Source organism: Homo sapiens, chromosome 3 (genome assembly GCF_000001405.40).
Source record: "Homo sapiens chromosome 3, GRCh38.p14 Primary Assembly".
NCBI classification, from domain to species: domain Eukaryota; kingdom Metazoa; phylum Chordata; class Mammalia; order Primates; family Hominidae; genus Homo; species Homo sapiens.
In genome coordinates, this window is record NC_000003.12 from 184,712,243 (window position 1) to 184,740,168 (window position 27,926).

General features: G+C 45.1%; 1 long non-coding RNA gene across 1 annotated transcript; it reads left to right on the forward strand.

Annotated features, from left to right (window-relative positions):
- LOC107986163 (uncharacterized) lies at positions 1–26,703 on the forward strand. The gene is made up of 5 exons (NR_160768.1): positions 1–176; positions 2,789–3,932; positions 21,793–21,858; positions 25,310–25,529; positions 26,393–26,703. It is a non-coding gene; the product is annotated as an uncharacterized LOC107986163 (long non-coding RNA).
- The last annotated feature ends 1,223 nt before the right edge of the window (positions 26,704–27,926 follow it).

Genomic DNA, 27,926 nt, shown 5'->3' on the forward strand with positions numbered 1-27,926 from the left:
AGGACTCTCCCATCCAAGGCATGCAGACTGGGGAATGTTTCGGTGTACAAGAGATGAAATAGGGATGGAGTGCCCCCCACGTTCTTTCTGCAAGTGCCTATTTGTGAGTGTGTGTATCTGGGATTTTCAGTGCTTTACCGGGGCTCTTGTGCAGAGTGCACGGTGAAGGCTGCGAGGTAAGACTGTGCGAACCAATTAGTAAAGGATGCTAGGGAGACTGAAATTTATTCTGGACGTAAAGAGAAAATACTGCAGCGGGATTTAAGCAAGTGAGTGTCCAGACCAGATCTGTGTCTTCGGTTCTGGCGGTATTGTGGAAGATAGATTGGAGTTCGGCCGGCTAAAAGCTAGAATCCAGTTTGGAGGATTATTATAGTGCAAACTAGGAACTGGGACCCGGCCTATTTACTGGGTTGTATCCTCGGTGCCTAGAGCAGTGCCTGACACGGAGAGGAACTCAATAAATATTCAATGGATCATTATGATGAGGGAGTAAGGACAGCAGATTCCATGGGGATAAGAGGAAAATACTGAGAAGTACAGCAGGAATAGGGACTGGTTGGAAGAAAGGGGAAGTTTGTTCTTTTTTTTTTTTTTTTTTGCGCAAGTCAAATTTGACTACTCCCATGTATTTCTTTTCTTTTTCTCTTTTTACACACTCTGAGCTTTCTTCTGCTTCTTGCTCCTTCCTTCCTTCTTTCCTTCCCTCCTTCCTTCCTTCCTCCCTCCCTTCCCTCCTTCCCTTCCTGCCTTCCTTCCTTCCTTCTTTCCTTCCTTCCTTCCTTCCTTCTTTCCTTCCTTCCTTCCTTCCTTCTTCCCTCCCTCCCTCCCTTCCTTCCCTGTCAGAAATGCCCTCTCTATCACCTCCATTTCTCCAAATCCTGTCCACTATTCAGGGCCCAGTTTAAACATCACCTTCCCAAGCCTTCCTTAGTCACCACGCATAGAAGTTATTTACTGTCATCTCTGAATCACCTTAGCAATTGTTAACATCCACATATATAGGCTTTATTAGGTGCCAGGCTCCGTTCTAATCACTTTTCAAATATTAATTCATCAGATTCTCACTAATGTAGGTACTAATACCATCATCCCCATTTTATAGATGATTGTATCTTTTCTGTGACACAGTTTGCTACTTACTAGCTATGTAATCTTGGGCAAGTTACCTAAACTTCTGCCCTTCTGTTACCTTATCAGTAAAATGAGTATAATAGTAGTAACAGCATTGTGGAGATTATGTGAAGTAATGCACATAAGCATTTAACACAGTGCTTGGCACATATTGATATTCAATACATGTTAGCTGTTAATTAATGCATATTTTTATATGCAATATACAATATTAGAATTGCAAGATGAACTGTCCTGGAATGCCTAGCACTCTGTGGAGATGCGGAGGAGGTGTCCTGGGACATAGCACTGAACCGGGTCAGTACTCACCCATTCTGTGACCTTGTACAGGATGCTCAAACACCCTGGGCCACTTTTTTCTGATACTGTAGCCCTGCTAGGTAAGTGGTATTAGCCCCATTTTCCAGGTGAGGTTACACACAAGGAGGTTAAGTAACTTGCCCAACATCACACAGCTGGGATGTGAACCCATATAGTATGACTCCAGAGACTGTGCTCTTAACCACTACATTCATAGATGTTAATTATTATTATTATCATTTACTATATTTTGTATTATAATTTGTTGTGCTTATCTTATTACCCTCCCCAAACCAAACATCCTAAAAGCTAGGGCTATGTTTTTAACTCTTTTGAAGAGCTTCTCTTAGTCAATACTCGATATATAATTGCCAATGAATAAATGACAGAAGGCTTTACTTTTTTCCCTAGGAAATAACAGTTACTTATTTTAAGTAAATATCTGATAGACTTTTCTAAATCTAAATATGAAATCTTCCTTTTAAAAACTTTTGAAAATTTATACCCACTTGTATCATATGACTTACAAACCTGGAAGTATGTGAATGAAGCAGGAGAGGATGTTTATTATAGCCTAGCTTGAGGCTATTATTAGTTTTCATTGTGCCAAACATTCTATGTACAATATAATTTTGTCCTCACAAATCCCTATTAAGAAGGTATTATTATCCACATTTACAAATGGGAAAACAGTCACAGAGAGGTTAAATCACCTGCCCTGAACCACCCATCTGTTAAGTGCTAGACAAGAAATGAAAACCCAGATCTGTAAACTCTGAAGCAAGACTGCCTGGTTATCTGTTTTTCCTGAAGGTAGAGAGAGCCACCCATACCTAAAAGGACAGTGCTAGAGATAAAATAGTCCACTTACATATTTTCCTCACTACAAGGATTGCCAGGGAGATATGCAGGAGATACATGCACGGAAAGGAGCATGCAGAAGATATATTAAATGAAAAGAATTTTGAGGGACAAATCTGTGGTAATAGGGCTGGATTTTAAGAACTGAATAAATGACGATACTACTCATAAGAAGGAACAAACTACTGACACAATGTGAATGAGTCTGGCAGATATGTTGAGTGACAGATGAAAGATACAAAAGATTATACGTATAATATGATTCCATTTATCTGATGTTCGAGGCAGGATAAGCTAATCTATGGTGATAGAAATTAGGACAGTGGAGGCCTGGGGTGGTGTTGACTGGAAAGGGGTATCCAGGAACTTTCAGTGGTGATGGCAACGTTCTGTGTCTTGATTTGGATGTAGGTATACATTTGTCAAAACTTGTGAAACTGTACGCTTAATAGCTATGCATTTCTTTTCTTTTCTTTTCTTTTCTTTGCGACAGGGTCTCACTCTGTTACCCAGGCTGGAGTGGTGCAATGGCACAATCTCAGCTCACTGCAACCCCTGCCACTGCAACCCTTGCCTCCAGGTTCAAGTGCTTCTCTTGCCTCAGCCTTCCAAGTAGCTGGGATTACAGGCACCTGCCACCACACCTGGCTGATTTTTGTATTTTTAACAGAGACGGGGTTTCACCATGTTGGCCAAGCTGGTCTCAAACTCCTGACCTCAAGTGATCTGCCTGCCTCAGCCTCCCAAAATGCTGGGATTACAGGTGTAAGCCACCATGCCCAGCCAGGTATGCATTTCATAGTGTATGAATCATACCTCAAAATTTATAAAAATAAAAAAGGATTTTAAAAAATGAACAGCCCTTTAGGTATGGGAGGAGGCGAGGAGTAAGAAAGGTGAATGGACTCTGCATTACCACTTGCCGATCGCTAGATGTTACCATGTTACAGTGGAAGGAATGCAAACAATAATTTTTCCCATTTTTTTTTTTGTTATGTCCACCATGTAACCGGACACACAGAATTTTTTTTTTTTTTTTTTTTTTTTTTTGAGACGAAGTCTCACTCTGTCGCCCAGGCTGGAGTGCAGTGGCGCATCTCGGCTCACTGCAAGCTCCGTCTCCCACGTTCACGCCATTCTCCTGCCTCAGCCTCCCGAGTAGCTGGGACTACAGGCGTCTGCCACCATGCAGCTAATTTTTTGTATTTTTTTTTTTAGTAGAGATGGGGTTTCACCGTGTTAGCCAGGATGGTCACGATCTCCTGACCTCGTGATCCGCCTGCCTCGGCCTCCCAAAGTGCTGGGATTACCGGCATGAGCCACCATTTCCGGCAACAGGCAGACTTTTAACACATTCCTTACCTAAACTTTTAAAAGGGACAAAAGATATATGCCTTTGGTTTGGGAGATGACGAAACATATGCTTTAATGACTATTGGGTTGGAATCTTCTTGAGAGAGGATCCTTCTTAGCCTAGACTAGAGTCTTCAAAAGCCCACAGTGCTTCGTAAAGTTTCATACGTGGAAGAGAGAAGGATGTTCCACTGGAAAAGCAGAATTGCAGCTGAGCTGTCCTGAAATGCCCAGCACTCTGTGGAGACGCGGAGGAGGTTTCCTGGGACAAAGTGCTGAACCAGGTCAGTACTCGCCCATTCTGTGACCTTGCACAGGGTGCTGAACCTCTCTGAGCCACCTTTTCCTCATCTTTAGGCCCCAACAACCCTTGCTTTGCCCATCCTTACAGAGTTATTTTGAAGTTCAATCAAGATTATACATGTAAATATGCGTTTAAAGTGCTCCACCATTAAGAAATAAATATAAAATGTTACAGACCCTTTTCTAAAAGAGATATGGTGGAAAAATCCCAGTAATGAGGGTGACTGGCCTCTTAGACAGACATTTCGGAATAGCTTACACATTCCTCATTGAAAAAACTGTCTGGCCAAAAAAGATTAAATAAAGAAATGTCAAGTACTGACACTCCATTTGAGGCCAGTGAATACTTTGGTGCAGAGCCAGGGTTATCTTGTTGGATTCCTTCTAAACTTGGCAATAGAGTCCTCCAAACTCTTGAATGCCTTCTTCACACAGGTGCTCAGTAACATGTCACCCCAGATCTGATGGTCTCCAGGCTGCGTGGGTGCTTGTGTCTTCCCTATTTCTCCTGACAGTCTTGACAGCCGTGCAGCTGATCTGGCTCCAAACAGGGATCAGAGGAAGAGCTCTGTCCCTATCCCTAGGCCGGGACAAATTGAAGCTGGTTTTGTCAGAGCAGAATGGGCAGAGTGTGAGGCTTTGGGTCCCGTCTATGGGGCTGGGATTGAGGCAGGATGGCCAGGCGAATGATTCGATCTGACTTGGGTAATGAAAATTGTTTGTTACTTTTTGAAGAGTAATTGTGTAAGCAACAGTACTTCTGTGTTTGGCTGCCAGTGACTCACCAGTGTCTGTAATATAACACCAAACCCAGAGGAGGAGCAGACCCTGGCCAGCGGGGGAGGGGGAATGGCAGGGGGCAGAGGGCCCCCTACTCATTCATCCCCTTCTCCCTCTTCCACTGTCCCACCCCCTCTCTAAACCTCGAAGGAGAGTTGGCGAGAAGGCATTTGCCACCTGGACACAATGAGGCCCAGTGCAAGGGGCGGGCGAGAGCCTGGCCAGGAGCCAGGGCCCTGGTCTGAATGGCTGTTGCCAAGGGGCTGCCAACAGCCCATCTCAATCCCCAAGAGGCTGGGCAAGGGCGGGGGGCCCAACCCCCACCTCGAAGGCCCACCTCACGCCATTCGCAGGCCGTGATCAGAATGTGCAGGACGCAGGGGCTTTGAGCGGCTGAACAGAGCCGTTTCCCCTCTGCTGGCCGCCAGTTTGCTTGGATTACAGCGGCCTCTCTGGAGCCCCTTTGTGGGCTGCTTGTTATTCCGCACGCACAGAGCACTGTGCATTCATCTTTATTAGTTCTAATTGCTTCCCCATTCTAATGGGATCTTGATATTCCCATACAATTGAAAGGAAATGTATTCATTAAAATAATTCTTCTCCTAACTGCCGCTTCAAGCTGCTCCTCTAAGTGACATTGTCTCTCTAACCACAGCCTGCTGAGGCCTCTTATTAAGACTCTAGTCAAAAGCCAACTTTGGGCAGCAAACTTTCCTTGCAGGAGTTTCCAGACACTGAAGAGAGGGTGCTTTTTAATCGGCTCACACACAGAAGTTGGAGGCCAGCTGGTGTAATTGGGGGTGCTGCTCCGGGTGGATGGAGGGAGAAGGGCTCGCCTCCAGCTCTGCCTCCTTTAACAATGACCCCTTTCTGCACACCAACCAGCTCATTTGGAGAGGGCTTCTCCCTCTGTCATGTGTGTGAAACTTCTTGTTTATGCCACAAGCAGTTACTAGGTGTGTTTTAAGCACAAGGCGCTGAGTAAGGTGCTATGGGAAGTGTGGAGACAGGGCTGCAGATTCAAGGCGTTTATGATCTTGGTGGGTGGCTCCCAACTCCAAGTCCCTAGAGTTAGGTATGAGAGGAAAGGCTGGCAGCGCTCTCAATGTTCAGAAAGCTTACTAGGATCAAGAACTGAGAAAAGCAGGCTATTATTTCATAAATGTGTTTGATTTAATAACCAAAATCTTTCAAGCTGTGGGACCATGGGGGTAATACAAGAAGCTTTTTGGGACATTGGGAACCACTGATCTAGTTAGGGGAAATAAGCTGTTGTAAAAAGAACGACTACGTAAATGTCTGCTCTTGACATCAGTGGTATCAATAAAGTGTTGTGGGAATTTGGAGGGGTGGAAGGGAGTATACGCTGGGCACTGCAAAATTGCTTGAACCTTATTTAATCCCTAGAACAGCCCTTTGAGGGAAGCATAACTATTCCCCATTTTACAAATGAAATCTGAGAGAAGTTAGGTAATGTTTCCACTGTCAATAGTTGGAGACAGGATGAACACCAGCCTTCTGATTCCAAAACACAGGCTATTTTCACGGCATCTCTCACATCGTATCTGTCTTGGGCGATCAGAGGTTTCCTGTGAGAGGTGGTGTTTGATCCCCCTTGAGGCCTTTAGGAATAGTGGGTTGTCAACAGGCAGGGAGTGTGGTCCCAAAGGAAGCAAAAACACACACAGGGACTGGGAAGAAGCTGGCATATCAGGAAATGACAAGAGTCCAGGTGGCCCAGACACTGGAGTGTGTGCAGAGGTGGAGGAGGAGAAAAGCAGAAAGGTTTGTGAAGGCCAAATTTTAAAGAGCCTTGCTTGTCAGGAGTTTGGACTTTATCCTGTAGATAATTCTCCAAGGAGGATACTTGAAGCCTCCAGATAAATACAGTATTTCTTTCGGGAACATCAGTTTTCCTTGAGGTGAATAATTTTAAACATCTTCATATTAAAAGAAATTCAGATATATCATGGAGTAGAATGCAAAATTCTCATGAATTTTTAAGAGAAAACAGGAGACTTCAAAGAGAGTTTGGGTGTGCTGGCAGGAGCTTCAGGCTCTGCAGCACCCTGGGGGAGCATAAGGCATTTCTTTTGTCTACTGTTGGTGCGCTTCAGTGGTAAAGATTGAGAAGCGCTGATTTTACACAAACTGTTTTGATCCCAGGAATAAAATCGATAGCTGTATTTCAAGATGGGAGGCAGGGGCCTGGAAGATAGTTTGGGCAGGGCGGGGATTGAGGGCAAGAGGCCAGTTAGGAGGCTGTTGCAATAAACTCTCCAGAGACATAAAGGGCCTGGGGGCTGCCTGGGTCTCAGAGCTCACCTCTTTGCCCTGGCACTTTTGGAGGGGGCTGCCTGAGAGACACCCACCTTGTAGCTGCTCCTTTATTTTATTTTATTATGTTTGGAGATGGAGTTTCACTCTTGTCGCCCAGACTGGAGTGCAATGGCACCATCTCAGCTCACTGCAACCTCCACCTCCTGGGTTCAAGTGATTCTCCTGCCTCAGCCTCCCAAGTAGCTGGGACTACAGGCGTGTGCCACCATGCCCAACTAATTTTTGTATTTTTAGTAGAGACGAGGTTTCGCCATATTGGTCAGGCTGGTCTTAAACTCGTGACCTCAGGTGATCTGCCTATCTCAGCCTCCCAAAGTGCTGGGATTAGAAGCATGAGCCACCAAGCCCGGCAGCTCCTTTCTTTTAACAAACTCGGCAGTAACACTAAGATGGCCAAGGAGGTTGTAGCAGAAGCAGTGAAAGGAGGTTCTGGGCCAGGAACAAGTTTTGCAGATAACCTTCGTGCCCTGGCCTCTTCATCAACGATGCTGCCCTCCAACCACCTTCTGGCCCAACAGGTCTGTTAACTTACCTGCTGGAAGGTGAGTGGCTGGACCAGCGATTCTTGAGGACCACTGCCTTGTTGCTGCATCCAGCCTTCACACACTGGTGGGCAGTTTTGTTTTACCTAGTGTGGTGGCCAACACCTTATGGTCAAGAGAGACTCAAGGGAAGGAGGAAGGGGGGATAAGCATCCCAGCTGAGGACCAAGGTCGTGCTTGACTTCTGCTTGTCATCAGTAGATGGAGATAGCCCACCTCAATTAGTCAAAATCCCTAACTCATATGGGTCTTTCTGGAGGAGCCAGTTCTTATGTAGTTCGTAATTTGTTTCTTGAATCATCTTTGCTTTTAAAGCATTACGAAATAACTTAGTGCTTTTTTTTCCTAATTTTTAGAAGATACTATTTATTGTAGAAAACTGAGAAAATCTTGACCATCAAAAAGAAAAAAACAAAAACAGAAAAACACCTATAATTCCACCATGCAGGGGTAACTACAGTAAACAAATACATTGGTGGGTGTCCTCCTCCAATTTTTCTAAGCACATACAATTTTATTTTTTAATGGAGTCATTTTGTGTACACTGCATGTATACTGTGGCTTTGTATATGAATAACATATATTTCTTCACATACCTTGAAACTTTCACTCTAATTAATATTTTCCTATAAGGTAATTATTTGTGACTGAAGTTGCCCATGGATGCCATGTCACCTTTAATGCCTATTGTTATAGATTTAGTTTGTTTTCAGTTTTTCATTCTTAAATACAATGTGAGGAACTTATTTGTGGCAAAATTTTTCACACAGCAATATTATAAATATTTTCTCTTATACAAGTAATCATTTTATTGCTGAAAAATGTAAGTTAAGGCAAGAAAAAAATTAAACACCTGAAATGTTACCATTCAGAAATCATAGCTATATACCTTTCAGTGCCTACCCTCACAGATTTAATTGTGTGCATGTGTTTATATCTATACATAAATAGATACATTGAATAAAGTCTGTAAGTCTGGTATAAATATATTTTTATTAAAACAATACTATTTTCTAGCCTGCTTTTTCTTAATAGATAATGACCATCCTTGTCATTAAATAGTGTTCAATATTATCATTTTACTGCTTTCTAATAATACATTGTATAAGTGTCTAACACTCATCCTGTTGTTTATTTGAGTTTTTCCTGGACCGTTCTTCTTTTTCTTATTTTTTGCAGGAGTTCTTTAAATAGTAAAGATATGAAATTTTTTGTCATGTTGCAAATATCTTTCCTGGATTATTCATTTTTCCTTGGGACTTGTTTGAGATAAGTTTTTTCCTCTTTATTTTCATAATTATAAAAATAAAACATAATTTGTATTAACATTAGAAAATACAGATAAAAGGAAAAATAATTAAAATGAAATAACCCTAAATCCCACCAACTAAAGATAACCACTACTAATATTTTAGACTGTATCTTTCTAGTCTTTCCTATTTCCCAATATAGATGAGTAGGACCATATAAGTATGATATATTTTTTAAAATTGGGATTATTCTACATATAATTGTGACCTACTTTATGCACTAAATTGATTTTGAAAATCTTTCTATGTCAACACAAATGAACCTGTACCATTATGTATTAATTTTATTTTAAAAATAGAAAATGCTTTTACACAGTTCAAAAATCAAAACAACATTAAAAAGCATACGTTCCCACACATCCCCATTCACTTGGTTCTCTGCCTTCCCTTCCCATAGGTCACTGCTTTTCCTAGTTACAAGCAAATGCAAATATATATTCCCTATCCTTTCTTACACGGAAGATAACACACTGTATACGCTATTGGGCCCCTTACTTTTTTTGTTTTTGTTTTTTGTAGAGACTATTACTTTTTAGCAGTTTTAGTTTCACAGCAAAATTGAGAGCAAGATTCAGAGACTTCCCATATGTATCCTGTCTGCACACATGCATAGCCTCCTTCACTTATCAACATCCCCCACCAGTTGATACATTTGTTACAATTGATACATTTGTTAAAAAGTATCAATTGTAACAATAATAAATGTATAATAAATAATGATGTATCAATGTTAATACATTTGTTAAATGTATTAATTGTAACAAATGTAATACATTTGTTAAATGTATTAACAAATGTATAATAAATAATAATGTATCAGTTGTAATACGTTTGTTAAATGTATTGATTGTAAAAAATGTGTCAACTTTTGTAACAAATGTATTACATTTGTTAAATGTGTCAATTGTAACAAATGTATCAACTGGTGGGGGATTAATATACAATTAATACATTTGTTACAGTTGATAAACCTACATTGGCGTCATTATCACCAAAGACCATATTTTACATTAGGGTTCACTCTTGGTGTTTTTTATTCTGTGAGTTTGGACAAATGTATCATGACATATATCCACCACTATAGAATCATACAGAGTATTTTCACTGCCCTAAAAATCCCCCGTTTCCACCTGTTCATCCCTCCCCTCTGGCACCTTCCTTAAAAAAACAAAACAAGGCCGGACACAGTGGCTCACGCCTGTAATCTCAGCACTTTGGGAGGCCGAGGCGGCCGGATCATGAGGTCAGGAGATCGAGACCATCCTGGCTAACATGGTGAAACCCCGTCTTTACTAAAAATACAAAAAATTAGCTGGGCCTGGTGGCAGACACCTGTAGTCCCAGCTACTTGGGAGGCTGAGACAGGAGAATGGCATGAACATGGGAGGCGGAGCTTGCAGTGAGCCGAGATTGGGTCACTGTACTCCAGCCTGGGAGACAGAGCGAGACTCTGTCTCAAAAAAACAAAACAAAACAAAACAAAAACATATATAACCAAAAAAATTTCATGGCATGTAGTGGAGACTTCTCATATCAGTATATAGAGAGCTTCCTGGTATTTCATGGTATGGATGGATCATAATATCTAACCAACCCATATAATTGGACATTTGAAATATTTCTGATAGTCTGCTATTATACTTAATTCTATAATATGTACATATGTCATTTCTGTCCATATGCAAATATATTTGCAGGAAAAATTCTGAGAGTAGGACTGATGAATCAAGGGGAAAATAGATTAGCAGTAACATCAATAGAAAATACCAAATTGCCCTTCATAAGGGTGTACCATGTTGCACTCCTGCCAGCAAAGAATGAGGGTATCTGTTTCCCTACAACATTAGCGAGTGAGTATATTTTGGATATGTGCAAATCTGATAGGTGAAAAGTGAGTATATCATTGCAATTCCTATATAATTTGCTCTCCTGTTATTATAGATGAGGTTGAACATTCTTTCATATGCTTAAAAGCCATTTGTGTTTTTTTTCTGAAAATGGGTACCTTTTTATTGGGATATTGGTTTTGATTTATAGAAACAAATATGTATTAGAGTGATTAGCCTTTTGTGAAATGAGTTGTAATTTTTTTTTCAGTTAACCATTTATTTTTCTACTTTGCTCATGGGGTTTTTGCCATGCAGGAGTTTTAAGATTTTTATGTAGATGTATTTTTCAGTCTTTTATTTCATGACTTCTTGATTTTTGAATCAGAAAGGTCTTCACTGCTCCAAGATTATAAAAGAGTTCTATTATTATTCTGGCAATTTTATGGTTTTATTTTCCACATTTATATCTCTGGTCCAGCTGAAATTTATCCTGGCGTACTGTGAGAAATATTGATCCAGCTTCTATCTTTTTCCAGTTAGCCAAATACGATTTATTTAAAAATCTATCTTTGTCTCACTGATTTGATATTTTTCAAAGACCAAATTCTCATATTTCCTTGGGTCTGTTTCTGTGCTTTCTAGTCTGTTCCATCGGTCTGTCTATACAGCACCATTTTTGATAGCTATATAGTATTGCTTTTTATGTGTAGCATAATTTATTTGACTAATTTATTTTTGTTAAACTTTCAGGTTGCTTCCGGTTTTTCAATATTCCAAACAGTGTATCAGTGAATAAAATCCTTGCACATATGCATTTGTGTGTATAGTGAATCAATCCTGTCCTTTCCATTTTTATACATGGAATTTCTGGGTCAAAGATATGTGCCTTCTTAGGCTTTTTTCATACATATTGCCAAAATGCCTTTATACCAGTTTACACCCCCTCCAACCGTGAGTGAGTGCAAATTCCCCCACCCGCGCCAGCTCTTCAGTATGATAATTCTTTTTAATCATTGCCAATCTGATCAGCAAAAAAAGGTCTCTTATTGCCGTTTTAATTTTCTTTCCTTTGAATGTTAGTGAGGCTGAATATTGTTTCAATTTATGGTGGGTTTTGATGTACAGAAGTTTTTGATTTTTTTTGTAGTCAAATCTATTAATCTTTTCCTCTATGGTTTCTACTTTTGTTGACATGTTTAGAAAGTCCTTCCCCATCCTAAGATTATAAAATATTCACTCATATTTTCTTCTAGTACCTTTATGATTTCATTTCCTTCTTTATCCATCTGGTATTCATTTTGACAAATGGCGTGAGCTGGGAAATAACGTGTATTATTTATTTATTTATTTATTTCCCAGATGGGTACTCAATTCTTTCATCACTGTTAAAAAGCACGTATTTGTGTGTGTGTGTGTGTGTGTGTGTGTGTGTGTGTGTGTGTAACTATTCCTAAAGTGAACATCTTGAACAGCTGGACACTGAAGGTAACGCAGCTCTAGACTTTGGGTCATCATTAGAAATACCAGCTTAACAGGCAGAAATATCAGCTTAACAGGCAGATGTGGCACTTTCTAACAGATGTGAGCTTTTGAATCAAACGGATTGACATTTGACATTCAAATCCAGCTTTGCAGCTCACTGCTGGTGCAACTTTGAGCAAACCAAGGATCCTCCCTGTGTCTTGGTATCTTCACCTATAAAATGGGATAATAATACTTACAGGGCTGTAATGAGAATTAAATGAGCTAACGTTTGTAGCAACTGTCTACACACGCCTTTCACATCACGGACAGTCAATATTTATCACTTGCCCTTCACACTGCAGCCATCATGCTCCCTCCTCCCCATCAAGTGAGCCCTCAGGCCTTGACTGTAAATAGGATATGCTGGAGTGGGGAGAGGTTGGATGCTGTGCTTGCTTTTTATAGGTTTTCTATCTTTACCCTGTGATCAGACTTCCATGTGTTCTGTCTTGCTGCTTTTAGTGTCTTTTCATTAACAGCCTTTCTCTCCCCTTCTAAAAGCACTGCTTTTAATCTTATAACAGCTAGAAAACCAGACAACAGGATTGTTCGAAGTATATATAAATTAAGAGTAACTGGGATCTGAGTGAGAGCCTGAGGGCCTCTCCTATTGTATAACGTGGTGGTTCTCATCTCTGGCTGTACATTAGAATCACCTGGGGAGCTTTGAAAACATATCCATGCCTGGGTCCTACTCCAGATCAATTAAATCAGAACCTCTGGTGGTGGGGTCCAGGCATGGGGGTGTTTAAAAACTCCGCGGGTGATTCTAAAGTGCACGCAGGGCTGAGAACCATTGCTCGCGCGCACAGGCTTTGTGAGATCCACATTTACTACTGAGAGGTTTTTCCCTCTGGTTCTCTCCCAAAGTGTGCCCCAAGTTGGGGTAGCAGCTCTGTGGAGCCAAAGGCCAGATGGTGGAGGTGTCAGCGATGTTTAGGCTGCTGCTGTGCTTGCTAAAGTGAGCGGCCCCAACACTCAGGTCTGTGTAAGAGCACGTTCCTCAGGGCTTTCGGAGATGATGTCAGTTTCTCTTTAAGATGGAGCTGTTTTAGTCCCCGTCCTGATGCAGCTTCCCCTGCCTCTAGGGGCTTCCTGGGACCATGCTGACTTTGACTCCTGAGGAGAGTGGAAGATAATGAGAAATAAATCTTGAGAAAACACCTTTAGTTTTTATTTCTATTTTGTTTATTTGCGTATTTGTTCTCTTTTTCTCTTGGCTCCTTCTCTGTCCTCAAAAACGTATGTAGGTGATATAGTTTGGCTGTGTCCCCACCCAAATCTCAACTTGAATTGTGGCTCCCATAATTCCCATGTGTTGTGGGAGGAACCCAGTGGGAGATAACTGAATCATGGGGGAGGTTTCCCCCATACGGGTCTCATGGTAGTGAATCAGTCTCATGAGATCTGATGCTTTTATAAGGGGTTTCCTCTTCCATTTGGCTCTCATTCTCTCTTGCCTGCCACCACGTAAGATGTGCCTTTTACCTTCCGCCATGACTGTGAGGCCTCCCCAGCTATATGGAACTGTGAGTCTCTTTTTCTTTATACATTACCCAGTCTCAGGTATGTCTTTATTATCAGGGTGAAAATGGACTGATACAGTAGGTGACATGTGTCCAGCCTGCTTGGTTCCCAACTTTGCTGGATCCATTCTATCTGTGGACGGAGCCACTATCTCTGAAAGGTACACTTACCCCCATCAACTATTGGTGGGCCCACTTTGTCTCCTGGCAAATAGATACAAAATGTGCTCCCTGCAGCCTACAAATTGGGCACCAACATCACAGCTCCTTGCTACCAAGTCAGCCTTCATGCTATTCTCAAATTCTAATAACCTGCCAGGGGGCTTAGCCCATGGGCTTGAGACCCCTTCCTGGTGTCTTACCTGGTTCATCTAAAACTAGGGCCTCCCTGGCTCCACCAGATCCTGTGGAGGAAAAGTCGCCACCTTTTCTAATGAATTAAAGCCCATTCCTGCAAGCTTAGCAATAAAGGGAGAGTCTCTGTGTGGAGAGGAGTGACTAGAATTTCCCCTTGAGATTTCTCACCCATCATCCCCACCCTTCAACACACACAGGGTAGCTGAGACCAGGCTGGATTCCTCAGACCAGCCTTTACCACAGGTTGGGGAGAACAACAGAAATAAACAGAGAGAGTAACATGAGCCTATAAAATCTGGTTTACAAGATACGACTTGATTGTGAGGGCTCAGGGCCTGCCTTCACCAGTGTGGGGGCTGCCTCCGCGTGGTCAGTGCCATGGCACCAGCCCTGGCCTCGGGGCAGAAGCTGGGACAGCTGTGCTCTTGAAAGTTCAGATGGACCCACTAAATAAAGAATGAAGCTGAGAAGGAAATGAGAGTTCCCCTTGGGTCTGGTGCCACCATCTGAATCCCAGAGTTCTGTTTGAGGATCTGTCTCTTCCTGGGATGATTAGAAATGATTGCTCCTTTTGGTGGTAAATAAACCTCAGATTCAAGTGAGGTTTTTTGATCATTAAGGCTGCATCAAGAAGGAATGGGGTGGGCAAACACTAGCTTACTACCTCACCCCAGTGCCTTGACCAGTCTTGCTAGAAGTGCGGTTTTATATCCGCAAAAGACAGTGGCTTTTCTTTAGATACATTCAGTTGAGAGGCGAAATGTTACAACCTTGTGAAATACTCTGTGATGTTCACAGTGGAGCAAGAGGTGAGCAAACTGAGGGTTATTTGCAAAGAATGCTGATGATATTCTTTTCAAAGAGCTCCCAATAATCGTCCAGGGAAGAAAAATACAAGGGTGTATCAGTTTGGAGAGACTTTTTTTTTTTTTTTAACTTGGAAGTCTGTGCGACAGCTCTGTCTGTTTTGGTGCTGATTTCTTCTTCACTCTCTTCAGGAGAGATCTCATCCGCTGTCCACTGGGGAATGGCCTTGCCCTATGGCCCCTACCAAACAAAAACGTAGCAGAACACAGCAAAACAGCAGAGTCGGAATGTGAAGTGCTGATAGAGTTCCCTAACGCTGACTGTCTGCTCTGCATTTCTGGAGATTGTATGCCTGTCATCCTGCATTCCTTGGTAGGCTACCTATTGGATAACCCCATAAACTCTGGCCCACTAATCGTCAATGGGGATAGTGCTGCCCCCTAGAGGCACTTTAGAAACGTGTGGTGTTTGTTACATTGGTTGGGGGCACTACTGAGGTGGAGTCAGAGGGCAGCCAGACTCCCTGCCCTAGGCAAGGCAGTCTTGTATGATGAAGATTTCTCCCGCACGTCTCCTGACATTTGAATGCCCCACCAGATACTCATGTAGGTAGAAAACCTCTTCATATTGGTCTGAGCCTAGAACCTAATTCTAATTTGTATATAAACACAAAGTACTTTTGTACAATTTTGTTTATTTATTTATTTATTTTTTGAGACAGAGACTCGCTGTCGCCCAGGCTGGAGTGCAGTGGCATGATCTCTGGTCACCTCAACCTCCACCTGCTGGGTTCAAGCCATTCTCCTGCCTCAGCCTCCCTAGTAGCTGGGATTACATATGCCTGCCACCACGCCCAGCTAATTTTTTTGTATTTTTGTTTCACCATGTTGGCCAGGCTGGCCTTGAACTCCTGACCTTAAGTGATCCGCCCGACTGGGCCTCCCAAAGTGCTGGGATTATAGGTGTGAGCCACCGCGCCCGGCCCTGTGGTAAAATTTTAATATTCACTGAATTTTTAATGAATGCTACCATCATATAAATGGAAAGAACACTGTATTTTATCTTTCCCAGGAGTTGTTTACCATTTCAGAAAACCACAATACCAACAGTAATATGTTCATAGTATTTGAGTTGTCAAAACAACACACCTCTATTCATCTGCATTTATAAATGAGTAATGATTCTACATATCTGTATGACTGTATAATACTTATTTAGTCTTGTTTCAGAACACCAAATATAAAGAAGTACCCATAATGTTCCAGTAAATATTATTTTACCTCTCTTACATTCAAACTCATTTATTACAAATAAGTGCAATCCTTTGACTACATTATCTCTTCTAGTGTAGTTATGCCCAGGCATTTCTAGATCACAATGTGTATTCGTTTATTCTGAGTTATTTTCCTTTTTGTTCATTATCTTATAGTTAGGGTGGTATATTGATTTTCTAAAAAATATCTGCATAGGTGGGTTGTATCATCTATAAATTTCATTTCGGAATAGTCAAGGTGGACTTACAAAATATTTGATGTAAAAACGGGAGCACTGGGTCTGATAGGGTTTGGGACCCACTGCTCTAGGTGACCTCATGGAGAATATTTGATTTTATCTCATTTTCACAGCAAATTCATTTCACTAGGTCCTATTATGATCACCATTCTGCATTGGAGGAAGCCGAGTAACAGAGACATGAGGTAACTTGCCTAAGGCCACATATCTAGAAAAGCGGGGAGCTAGAGCTCTAGAGCCCTCTTGCTATACCAGTTCACTATTCCACCTTCCACCCACCATGTCTGCCCAATCTTCCATGATTTGTCCAGGTGCCGCAGGGCCTTTCTACCTGGAAGCCCACCCTCTGCCCCTGTTAGCCTTCCTTTTTTTTTTTTTTTTTTTTGATGGACTCTCACTCTGTTGCCCGGGCTGGAGTACAGTGGCGCAATCTCGGCTCACTGCAACTTCTGCCTTCCAGGTTCAAGTGATTCTCCTACCTCAGCCTCCTAAGTAGCTGGGATTACAGGCACGCGTCACCACACCCGGCTAATTTTTGTATTTTTAGTAGAGAAGGGGTTTCGCCCTGTTGGCCAGCCTGGTCTTGAACTCCTGACCTCGGGTGATCCGCCCGCCTCGGCCTCCCGAAGTGGTGGGATTACAGGCGTGAGCCACTGCGCCCGGCCCCTGCTAGGCTTCTTGCAGGGTCCACTGGGGACACTGACTGGAAGGAAAAAAATGACTTTTCCCTTTTGGATAGAATTTTAACAGAATAAATAAAAGGGAAGAATTTTGCAAAGAGCAGATCCCCATAAATTTTGCTGAAAGAATGAATGAATGATTTGGTAACGTATCGGGGAGAGTACTGCTGGGTCCTTTGGAAGAGCCCCTGGGCTTTTAATAATTGATTTCAGCAAACTTATGTGAGTTTCCCTGGGGTTGATGCCGGGGTTCGCAGGGCTCTCAGCTCAAGGACAAGGAGGAACACTTCCACTGTGTCCCCGCAGGCTGAGGGAGGCTGTTCACTCCTTTTCCTCAGGAAGCCCAGCTGTTGAAACCGATCAGCACATCTCCCTTGCCCTCTCCCCATGCACACGGACATGGTTTTCATGTCCTGGAGTTGGGGGTCTTTTTTATTGTATTATTTTTATTATTTTTTATTTTTTTATTTTTTCTGAGACAGTGTCTTGCTCTGTCACCCAGGTTGGAGTGCAGTGGTGCGATCTCGGCTCACTGCAAGCTCCTCCTCCCGGGTTCATGCCATTCTCCTGCCTCAGCCTCCCGAGTAGCTGGGACTACAGGTGCCCACCACCACATCTGGCTAATTTTTTGTATTTTTAGTAGAGATGGGGTTTCACCGTGTTATCCAGGATGGTCTCGATCTCCTGACCTCATGATCCGCCTGCCTCGGCCTCCCAAAGTGCTGGGATTACAGGTGTGAGCCACCGCTCCCGGCGGGGGTCTTCTTCAAATAACAGCCTTTCCTCTGGCCCTTTGGTCTGTGATCTGACTGACCCCCTGTGTCCTGGTCTGAGGAACACCAGCTCCTACAACTGACAACCACAAAGGGATGCTGCACTTTTTCCCCGTGGGTCTCTGGCAGGGTCTCACTCTGAGCTACAACTTTTTCTTTCCTTCACTCAGCAAATGTTTTCTGAAGGCCTGCTTTGTGCCAGATTCTGGGGTGCAGGGATGAGCAACGACACATTGTCCCATCCCACACTGATCTCAGGTGCTTTCTTCCTCAACTAAACCATATACCCTTCCTGGAGGTGACTTGGGGGGCCATCCCTCAGCAGAAGCCAGACTCCTCACTCTACCCCATTCCAAACCTTCCCCTCAGACCCACAAAAGATACTCAACTTCAGTCACCCTCTGCAGACTCAGATTTAGTACAAATGACTGGCTTTTGCAGTAGTGTGGGAAGAGCTGCAACAGGAGCATACAGAAGCTCTGGGAGCCCACGGGGAAGGGCAGCTGAACCAGCCTGGGGTGAATAGGGAAGCTTTCCTGGAGGAGGGGATGCCTGAGTGTAGTCCCAAGGAATGGCTATGATTTGGCAAAGGCAAAGGATGAGTGCATTGGTCAGGGTCCTAAAAGGGAACAGGCCCCCTTAAGTTAGGATGATTTGATGAGGGTTTATGCACAAAGAGGTTATTTGCAAAGGTTTAGGCAGAGTGTGGGAGAACAACACAAGATAGTACAGAAACTCAGGGTCAGTGGCAGCAGAGCTGTTTCCACCCCTAGGCCAGAAGACATGGGAGAGGGGCAGCCTGTACCCTGGAAAGAGGGAGAGTCGTGTCATTCAGGTCAGCTTCCCTCTAGGGAATCAGCCAGCCTGATGCAACCTTACAAGGAGGGAATCAATTGCCTTGACCTCATTCTTTCCTGTCTTCCAAACTCTTGCTGGTGGTCCCCATTGGCCAAACCCAACCAGGAGCCAGAGGGCACTGGAGCTGATTGATGTGATCTATACAGGGCAGACTTTGGGGCACAGAGCAGGCTGGAGAGTGGATCTGGCGTGGTAAGCAGAAGATATCCAGCATGCTGGGTCAGGGAAGGCCTTTCTAAGAAGAGGAGAACAATTTGTGAAGGCCCCATTCTTACACAAGAATGTGTAAGTTGGGGAAATGTTTTCTTTATGTCTGGAGTAGAGTGAGTAGGAATGGGGGCGTCCATCATGAAAGGCCTTGCATGTCTTTCTAACGAATGTGAAAATTTATCCCAAAGGCGATGGGAGCCACTGAAGCATTTTTGGCAGGAGGTGACCTGATCAGATTTGTGTTCTGAAATGATCACTCTCGCCCTAGTGTGGACGTGGTCTGGAGGAACACTTCAGACTAGAGATGGTGAGGCCTGAACCAAGACAATGGCGATGGAGAAAGAGGTGGATTGATTTGAGAAATGTTTAGGAAGTAGTCTCAAAAGGCGATGAAGGATTGAATGTGGAGGATGAAGGAAAGGGAGACGTCGAGAGCAGTGTCTGGGTTTCCACTTGAAGCTCAGGCTCAGGAGGGAGCGTGAGGGAGCAGGTTGCCTGTCCAGCTGTTGCTTCCTCGATTTTGCTTTCTGGATTTGGGAGAAAGCTTAGATTGGCCCTCATTAGCAGGACCTCAGGCTTTCAAGGGGGTCTTGGAGGGGCTTCCTAGCCATGCCACAGGTTGGCCTCCCTTGGTTGTCTCGAGAGCACGCCAAACTAGAGAGCAGGCGAAGTCACCTTTTGCTGCCACCCTGGGACCTACTGAGCCGGGACCTGCTCTCTCCCACCCCCTGCCCCTTCCCATATGGACAGGGGATGTGTTTTCTTTTAACTTGCTTCATTGCAGGAGCAAATGAGGTCCAGCTGAGGGGAGGGAACCAGCCATGGTGACAGAGCATGGGCTGTGTGAGCTTGGGTGAGAGTGGGGGCCCTGTCACCCTCAGTTTCCTTCCACTGGCTTTTCAGACAGCTGTGGTCCCTGTAGGCTCAGATTTCATCCCTAGCAATTCTGAAGAACCTGCTATCCAGTAACAGGTCCCATTCCTTGGAGTTCTTTACCTAGAAACCTGGAATAATTTTCTTTTGTTGCAGAGGAAAATGCTGAGGTTGTTCTTTCATGGTCTAAGAACTTGAGTAGTCATGGCAACGCATGAGGGTGGGGTGGGTGAGGTGGGGGCGTCTTAGCAGTGTTTCGTTTCAAATGCCAGATTAAAGGAAAAGCGTCTTTGGAGTTCGCCTCATTAAGACATAGCTCAGTGCAGTCTCGTTGATGGTTCTCCAGCTCATCATTTTACACATTACATTTTCCCTACATTTCCTCGCCTGATGGGCAGTCTTCTGGGACTTCTCCCTGAGAATTTTGGCTCCGAGACTTCTCCAAGAATTTCAGCTCATTTCTGGCAAGAGCGTTGGTGGGGGTGACTCTTTTGTTCCTGTCGAGGACCTTGTCTTGTAAGTCCTTTGCTTCCAATGGGACTGCCACTTTAAAAAGCCAAAGGTAACATGTTTATTGAGAGTTTGTTCTGGCTACAAAAAGAAAGATGGTGATTGAGCAGCCATTTCCTTTTCACACTATACTTTTGGTCCAGGATCTTTCTCTCAGAGTTTGGCCAGGTCAAGCCCAAAGCTGGCTCTGGGGATCTAGGCCATCCTTCCGACTGCCCTTCCGGGACGCGTCTTGGAGAAAGTAAAGGTGGAAATGTTTAACCTAGACACTGGCTGCAAGTGCTTTCTTCCTCAGCTGAACCTTATCCCCTTGCTTGAGCTGACCTGGGGGTCCTTCTTCTTGAGGAGCCACTCCCCACCCTGCTCCAGTCCAAACCTCTCCTATACCCGCAAAAGATACTCAACACATTAGAGTTGCCCAGTTATCAACTAAAATATTTCCCAAGTCCTCATTTATGCTTTCCAGTGGTCACCTAGATTCTCCTTGTGATTAATGTTCTTATTAACCATAGCCCTCATGTGCTGAATACTTACTAAGAGGCCAGATTTCTATTTATCACCTAATTTAATAGTCACCAACAACCCCGTGAGGCAGGTACTAGCAGTCTCATCTTACAGAGGAGGGAACTGAAGTCCCCCAAAGCTAACTTGTCTAGAACCAAATAGCTAGTAAGAGGTAGAGCTGCGATGACGTGGGGTCTGTCTGGTGACACACAGTGCTCTCTCCACTAGGTGACACAGCCTACATCCTCAGCTGCTTTCACCCCGTCTCACCTGATCACAGCACACATTCCCACCTGCATGAGCCCTGCCTCATTCCAGCCAGAATGTGGTCACTGAATCATCTCCCCAAAGTTCCCCTTTCATTCATTATTTTTTTTATTTTTATTTTTATTATTTTTTTTTGAGATGGAGTCTCACTCTGTCCCCCAGGCTGGAATGCAGTGACTTGATCTTGGCTCACTGCAACCTCTGCCTCCTGGCTTCAAGTGATTCTCCTGCCTCAGCCTCCCCAGTAGCTGGGACTACAGGTGCATGCCACCATGCCTGGCTAACTTTTGTATTTTTAGTGGAGATGGGGTTTCACCATGTTGGTCCAGGCTAGTCTCAAACTCCTGACCTCAAGTGATCTGCCTGCCTTGGCTTCCCAAAGTGCTGGGATTACAGGCGTAAGCCACCGTGCCCAGCCCCAAAGCTCCCCTTTCATTGCTCCCGTACTAGGCTCCCCTGCTGGGCTCAGTTTTGAGGGTACAGAGACCATGACAGTCTTGTTCACCCTGGTATCTATAGGGCTTGGCCTGTAGAAAGTGCACAAGTAATTACTTACTTACAGAGTCAATGGAAATATCTTTCTTCCACCAGCGCCCCCCCAACAACATCCCCCTTATTCTTTCTCTTCTCCCTTCCCAGCTACAGCCACAAGCTGTCTCCACCATCAGATGTGGCTTACCTGGTTCCTGAGTCAATTCCATCCAGGTAGGAGGAATCCTATCAGAAAGTATGTGAGTGCGTTTGCAGAGTGCATTCCTGTGGAGCCCCCTTATCTCTGGCTGCATCTGCTTCTGCAGGGAGAAAGTATCCCTGCTGTGAGAGGTCTGGGATCTGGAGTACAGAGGGTAAGCCCTGGGCCCCCACTTACCCCCGGGGTCCCATCCTCACTCACCTCCCTCCTGTATCATCCTAGTCCACAGAGTAGCTTTTCACTAAGCTCTTACTGGATTGGACTCTTCATATACATTATCTCATTTAACCATCACGACAACCCCAAAGGCAGACAGTAGTATCTCCATTTTATAGGAGAGGAAACTGAGGCTTGAAGGGATTACGTCACTTGCTAAGGACTCACAGGGATTTGAACAGGGGCTTCTCTGTGGTCGCAGCCTTTGTGATGTTTCCTTCTCACACGGGCTGGGCTTCTGCCGTGTTCTACCCATCTAACCTGGGAAGCCCTCCTGATTTCTGGGGACCTGACAATCTCAGGAGCTAATCATCATGGTTAGAATAGGTACAATTTTGTGAGCATCCATCTATACCAGAAGCTCCACAAATGGCCTGATTTAACCTTCATCCCTGTGAAGTAGGTGCTAGGATTCTCTCCGCTTTGCAGATAAGGAAACCGAGAAGTTAAGTGTTACCGCCAGTGTTGTACAACTGCTGAAGTGGGGGAACAGGATTCAAACCAGGCTTGTCTGAGACTGAAACCCGTGTGCTATACTACTCCTTCTAAGGGTGTCTGACAAGGGCTGGACTCTGATCGTCGTCTACTCCCCTTTGGGAACCCTGCTTCTAGCTGGGGTCCAGCCACCCAGAACCAGGTTGTAGCTGCCTTCCTGCTACTGACCTCCCATTGGCTCCACCCCACCTGCCTGATGGGCCAGCCTCCCAGCCCCACCTGAACGGAGCACACTTCTGTGCCCCTCTAGTGCTGTGCTTGGCCACGCGGCAGCCAAATCAGTTTCTCTGGCCCAGCTTCCTCCGGTCCCCAACCCTGCCCTCCGGTGTCTGTGGCGGTCGCCATGTGCGTGGAGAGGTTTTCGTGTGATTCTTTCCACCACCATCCGCCAGCTGGTTGGGCTGCTACCTGCTCTAATCCCTGCACAGCTCTCTAAGGTGGGCTAAGCGAGTGTCAGCACCTCTCCCTGGCTTCTTGGGCTTCATGTAGCTCCCTCACTTCTATCCACCAGTGACAGCCCTGGTACCCCCCTTCTGAGACCAGTCTCTATGGCTGAGCCTGGCTCAATGCCTCCTCAGCACTAGAGCTCATGCTTCCTGCGGCCCCCGGCTGCTTGCTGACCAGAATGCCTGCGTTCCACCCTGTTCTGCCATCTGATGCCTGCCTGAGTGTCTGCACTGACTCCTGTCTCTTGTCTTCCTCTGACCCCTGAGCAGCACAAGCCCCTAAGCCTCAGCATGTCCCCACAAGCCCCAAGCCCTGCCTCATGACCCTTGCCTGGTCTCACCCCACTTGAGTGGACATTTTCCAGCCTTTTCCCTCAACATCTCTCAACTTGGACTCTGCTCCCCATAAAGCAGAATCAATGACTCACCTAATAATATGTGCTGGGAGTCTATGTGCAAGACATTGTATAGGGCACTGAGACCTCCCAGCTGTCCCCTGACTCTCAGGCCCGCCATCTCTCACTCTTTGTGGTTGGTTTTTGCTGTTTTCCTTGATTCCTATTAGGGCAGCAGAAGCCCCTCCATGCTGCCCACCTCACTAAAGGCCTTGTAGGTTTTGTTTTGTTTTTTGAGACAGAGTCTTGCTCTGTTGCCCCGGCTGGAGTGCAGTGGCACAATCTCGGCTTGCTGCAATCTCCACCTTCTGGGTTCAAGCAATTCTCCTGCCTCAGCCTCCCAAGTAGCTGGGATTACAGGGGCGCACCACCACACCCGGCTAATTTTTGTATTTTTAGTAGAGATGGGGTTTTGCCATGTTGGCCAGGCTGGTCTCGAACTCCTGACCTCAGGTGATACACCCACCTCAGCCTCCCAAAGTGCTGGGATTATAGGCCTGAGCCACCATGCCTGGTCGGCCTTGTAGGTTTTGAAGCCTACTTGGAGGTCTCTAAGTCAGGGCTTCCCAATGTTCTTTGCACACGAAGGAATGGATACTGTCTGTGTGACACACTGCAGGAACTGCTGGCAGCCTGAGAAGGGCCAGCTAGGGGGTCCAGACACCCCAGGCCAAGCCCCAAGGGCTAAAGGGATGGGTCAGGTCTCTGCTCACCTGGAACCCATTCTGTTGAGAAGCTCTCCTCTAAGCCTTGACTATAAAAATATTAATAGCTTCTTTTTATTGAGTGATTAAAATGTGCTGGGTGGTGTGTGAGGCATTCTATATACATTGTCTCTGTAGTGACGGGAAGTCATCATCATCCCCATTTTATAGATGAGGACTGAGGCTCAGAGATTCAGCAACTGGCCCAAGGGCGTTACCTCTCTGAACTTCTAATGTGCTTAAAAAGCAATGTCAGTGTCAAGTGATTTACCCTACAACATTCTTTGTTTCCTCTATATATTGGTTTTTTTTTTTTTTTTTTTTTGGAGTTGGAGTCTCACTCTGTCCCCCAGACTGGAGTGCAGTGGCTCAATCTTGGCTCACTGCAACCTCTGCCTCCCGGGTTCAAGCCATTATCCTGCCTCAGCCTCCCGAGTAGCTGGGATAACAGGTGCCTGCTATCACGCCCGGCTAATTTTTGTTTTTTTAGTAGAGACGGGGTTTCACCATGTTGGCCAGGCTGGTTTCAAACTCCTGACCTTGTGATCCACCCCCTTCGGCCTCCCAAAGTGGTGGGATTACAGGCATGAGCCACCGTGCCCAGCCTCCTCTATATGTTCTCATCTTGCAACAAAACAGGGAGCTCTTCATGTCTAATGCATATTTTCATCCCTACTCTGCATCACACACTTAGGTGTTCCATGGTTATTCTCCAGGTCCTTCTGAGAAGCCCACACAGCTCCTTAGGCCCAGCCCTCACCACTTCTGTCCCAGAGGAGTAAAACCCAAATGCCTTCCATAAAGGAGGCCAGACCTTTTATGCAGGGAGGGTGTTTGGGAAGAAGAATGAGCTGCCAGCAGGCTGCCTGGTGACTGTGGCCTTATGGGAATCAGGATGTTTCCAGGTCAAAGGCTGCAGGAGTTCCTGTCTCTTTGCTCCTCCTCAGCAAGGGATCTGCAACATGCTCATTCCACGGTCATGGCCTCGGGGGATCTTTTCCACTTTGGGTATTGAGAAATCTCTATAAAGATGATCCTGTCTTTATGCCCAGCACCTTATGGCAATTCTTGAGAGAGGGAGAGCGTCAGGGAATTGAGAATGGGGTGCAGTTGCCTCACTCCTGCCTCCATTCTGTTGTGTATAATACGGAATGTTAGGGTCATGTGACACTAGAAATTGCCAAGCTGGTCCAATCTCTCCATTTATAGATGGTGAAGCCAAGGCCTGAAGACCTTTCCTGCAAGGTCGCAGAGGAAGAGGCAGAAGAAGGACCAGAACCCAGCTCCCCTGACTCCCTATCCAGTGCTCTTCTCATAGATTACATTGCTTCAGCATCCACCTGGCTATTGCTCCATCCAGGGGTTACAGGAGTCACTGACTGTTTTGGTTGCTTCTTGGTTGGAGGATGTTGTGCCTCACCGATGAGAGGTGGGTATTGGTGGGCAAGGCCACTAAACAGGTCAAAAATTCAATTGTCCCCACATGGCCTTATTGGCCCCTGCAACACTGGGCAAGTTGACAGACGGGTTGTTTGTGATTGCCAGTGCCACGCTCCCTGTATTCCCATTGTCTGGAAATGTGGCAGGAGGGCAGTTGCCTCTATTTTGAAGACTGCAGTTGCTATGGACCCATCAGAGGCACAGACATTCTAGCGAGTAGATCTCTGGGACCGGCTGTTCCTCAGCCTGGCAGGACTGGTAGAGTTAACTGCGAACTGCTCTCCTCCCCATCTTTGCAATTTCTTCCAGAGAGAAGGAGCGAGCACTCTGCCATCTACATATTTTCAGCTGAGTTATATTTTGCATAAAGTAAACTTAGCAAACAGAGAACACAGTGAGAATATATTTGGCTTTGAAGCGTCAGTGCTCTGACAGGCATTTCCTATTAGCTATCTCAGAGCCGACCAGCCCGGCTGGGTTTTGCTTAAGTGGCATAATTCTCCTGCAGTGGAGACAGCTCATTCATTAGTCATTCCAAAAGCCAGATACAAAATATCCTTCTCTAAGCCAACTCCACCAACCAGCTCCCCAGCCCGGGTGGAACAATGAAACTGTGAGGCTTACCAGCCTGGCAAAGGTCAGCCGGAGAGCTACCTGTCTGCGGGCTTTGGAAGATAGCTTTGGCTTCAGCCTTTCATTTCCCTCAGGAACAGGAAGGACGCGTCTTCCTCCTGTTGGCAGAGGCCTTAGGATCCTTACCGAGGGTGGGCTTCTTCCCATTTCACTACAGCGTCACTTGCAACGGCACCAAGCCCTGATTTAACACACTCTGTTTTGTTTGTGTTTTTTTAGCCGGAAGCAAAGGTACCAGTTCTTAGAGGAAGCATAGGAATGTGTCCCTTCCTGCTCGGGTCTCTCAACTGAACTCAACCCTTCCTTGATTGATTGACAAGCATGTTATCTCTCATAATCCCTGCCCGGTAAGGGCTGATGTCCCCATTTTACAGATGAGGATATTGGAGCTCAGAGAAGTGAAATGATTGCTGAAGGTCACACAGCCTGGCTTCAAGCCTCTCGGGCTCCAAAAGGCATCTTCTGTTCTCTCCGTCAGGAAGCCTCTTTTGGATGATTAACTGAGATTAAAAATGAAAAGACACATGAAAGAAAGGTCCTTTTTTTCAACCTGACAAGAACTAAGAATGCCTCTGTATTCCAGGCACCCAGACCAGGGTGGGCTGGAAAGCCAGCCAGAGAGAAAGCAGGAGAAAGAAAGCATGTTCTAACAGGAAGGTTAAAGCACCCTGGGATGTGAGTTGGGGTGGAGAAGTGAAGAGGGCAGTTCTCACAGGGGCAGAGCTTGGTTTGGGGTAGGCTAGGAGCTGGGACCAGAAGAGGGACAGGGAAGGGTTTATTGTGGGTCCACGGCCCAGCTCCACTGCATGGGCCATCTGACAGCGCCTGACCGAGCAGAATGCCAGGGTGTAAAGACCCCACTAATACCCAGTCAATGAGAGGAACGCCAGAGGAGCACCCAGAATGTTCTTGTGCAGAGGCAAAGAGCAGGAGTTTGTGACCACAGCTGGCAGTCCATGTCATCCTCACTGAACGACCTCTTAGCATTCCAGGTGGACAAACATATTCACAGGTGCCCAGACAAATGAGGTCTGCGGGAGAGAGACAGGCTACATCAGAGGTAGACTATGTATTTACATAAAGTAGGAATAAGAGTCTCAGAAGCCTTCCAAAGCAGATGTCTGCTTAAACCTCTTGAGCGGTGCCCTCCTTAGCCTGGAAGGAAGGCCTTGCTCAGGTAGTCTCAACCCGCATCTGTGGTGTGATTTAACACCTTCCCCTTCATTCCACCACACTCTATCTCAAACTATCTGTTGTTCTCAAACACACAGAACACTTTCACTCCACCAGCTCTTCCACATGTGATTATCTTTGCATGTACTTCATCTTTCTCATCTACAGCCCCACCTGGCAAACTCCTACTCAGCCTTCAAAACCCTGCCTAAATGTCACTGAATCTGGAAGCCTTCTTCATCTTCTCAGTACACATTTGTCTGTATTCCTGATCCTTTGTCTATAACTCTGGTAAATCATTGATCCTAGTGCACTGTCAAGAACTTGTCCTATTTTATCTGTAGATTCCCAGAGCCCAATCAAGATCCTCACATGTAGAAAGTAGTAGATCAATTAAATAAAGCAAGCACAGCCAGAATGGCTGGGAATTTGAGAGCATGTGCCCCAGAATGATTGTACCTCAGACCTGGAAGAAAATGTGGAGTTGATCTAAGTAAACCTGATGTTTGAACGCCTCATCTGCATTCACAGCCTGAGGTAATATACATAAACCACCTAATCTAGTAACTGGCAGGTATTA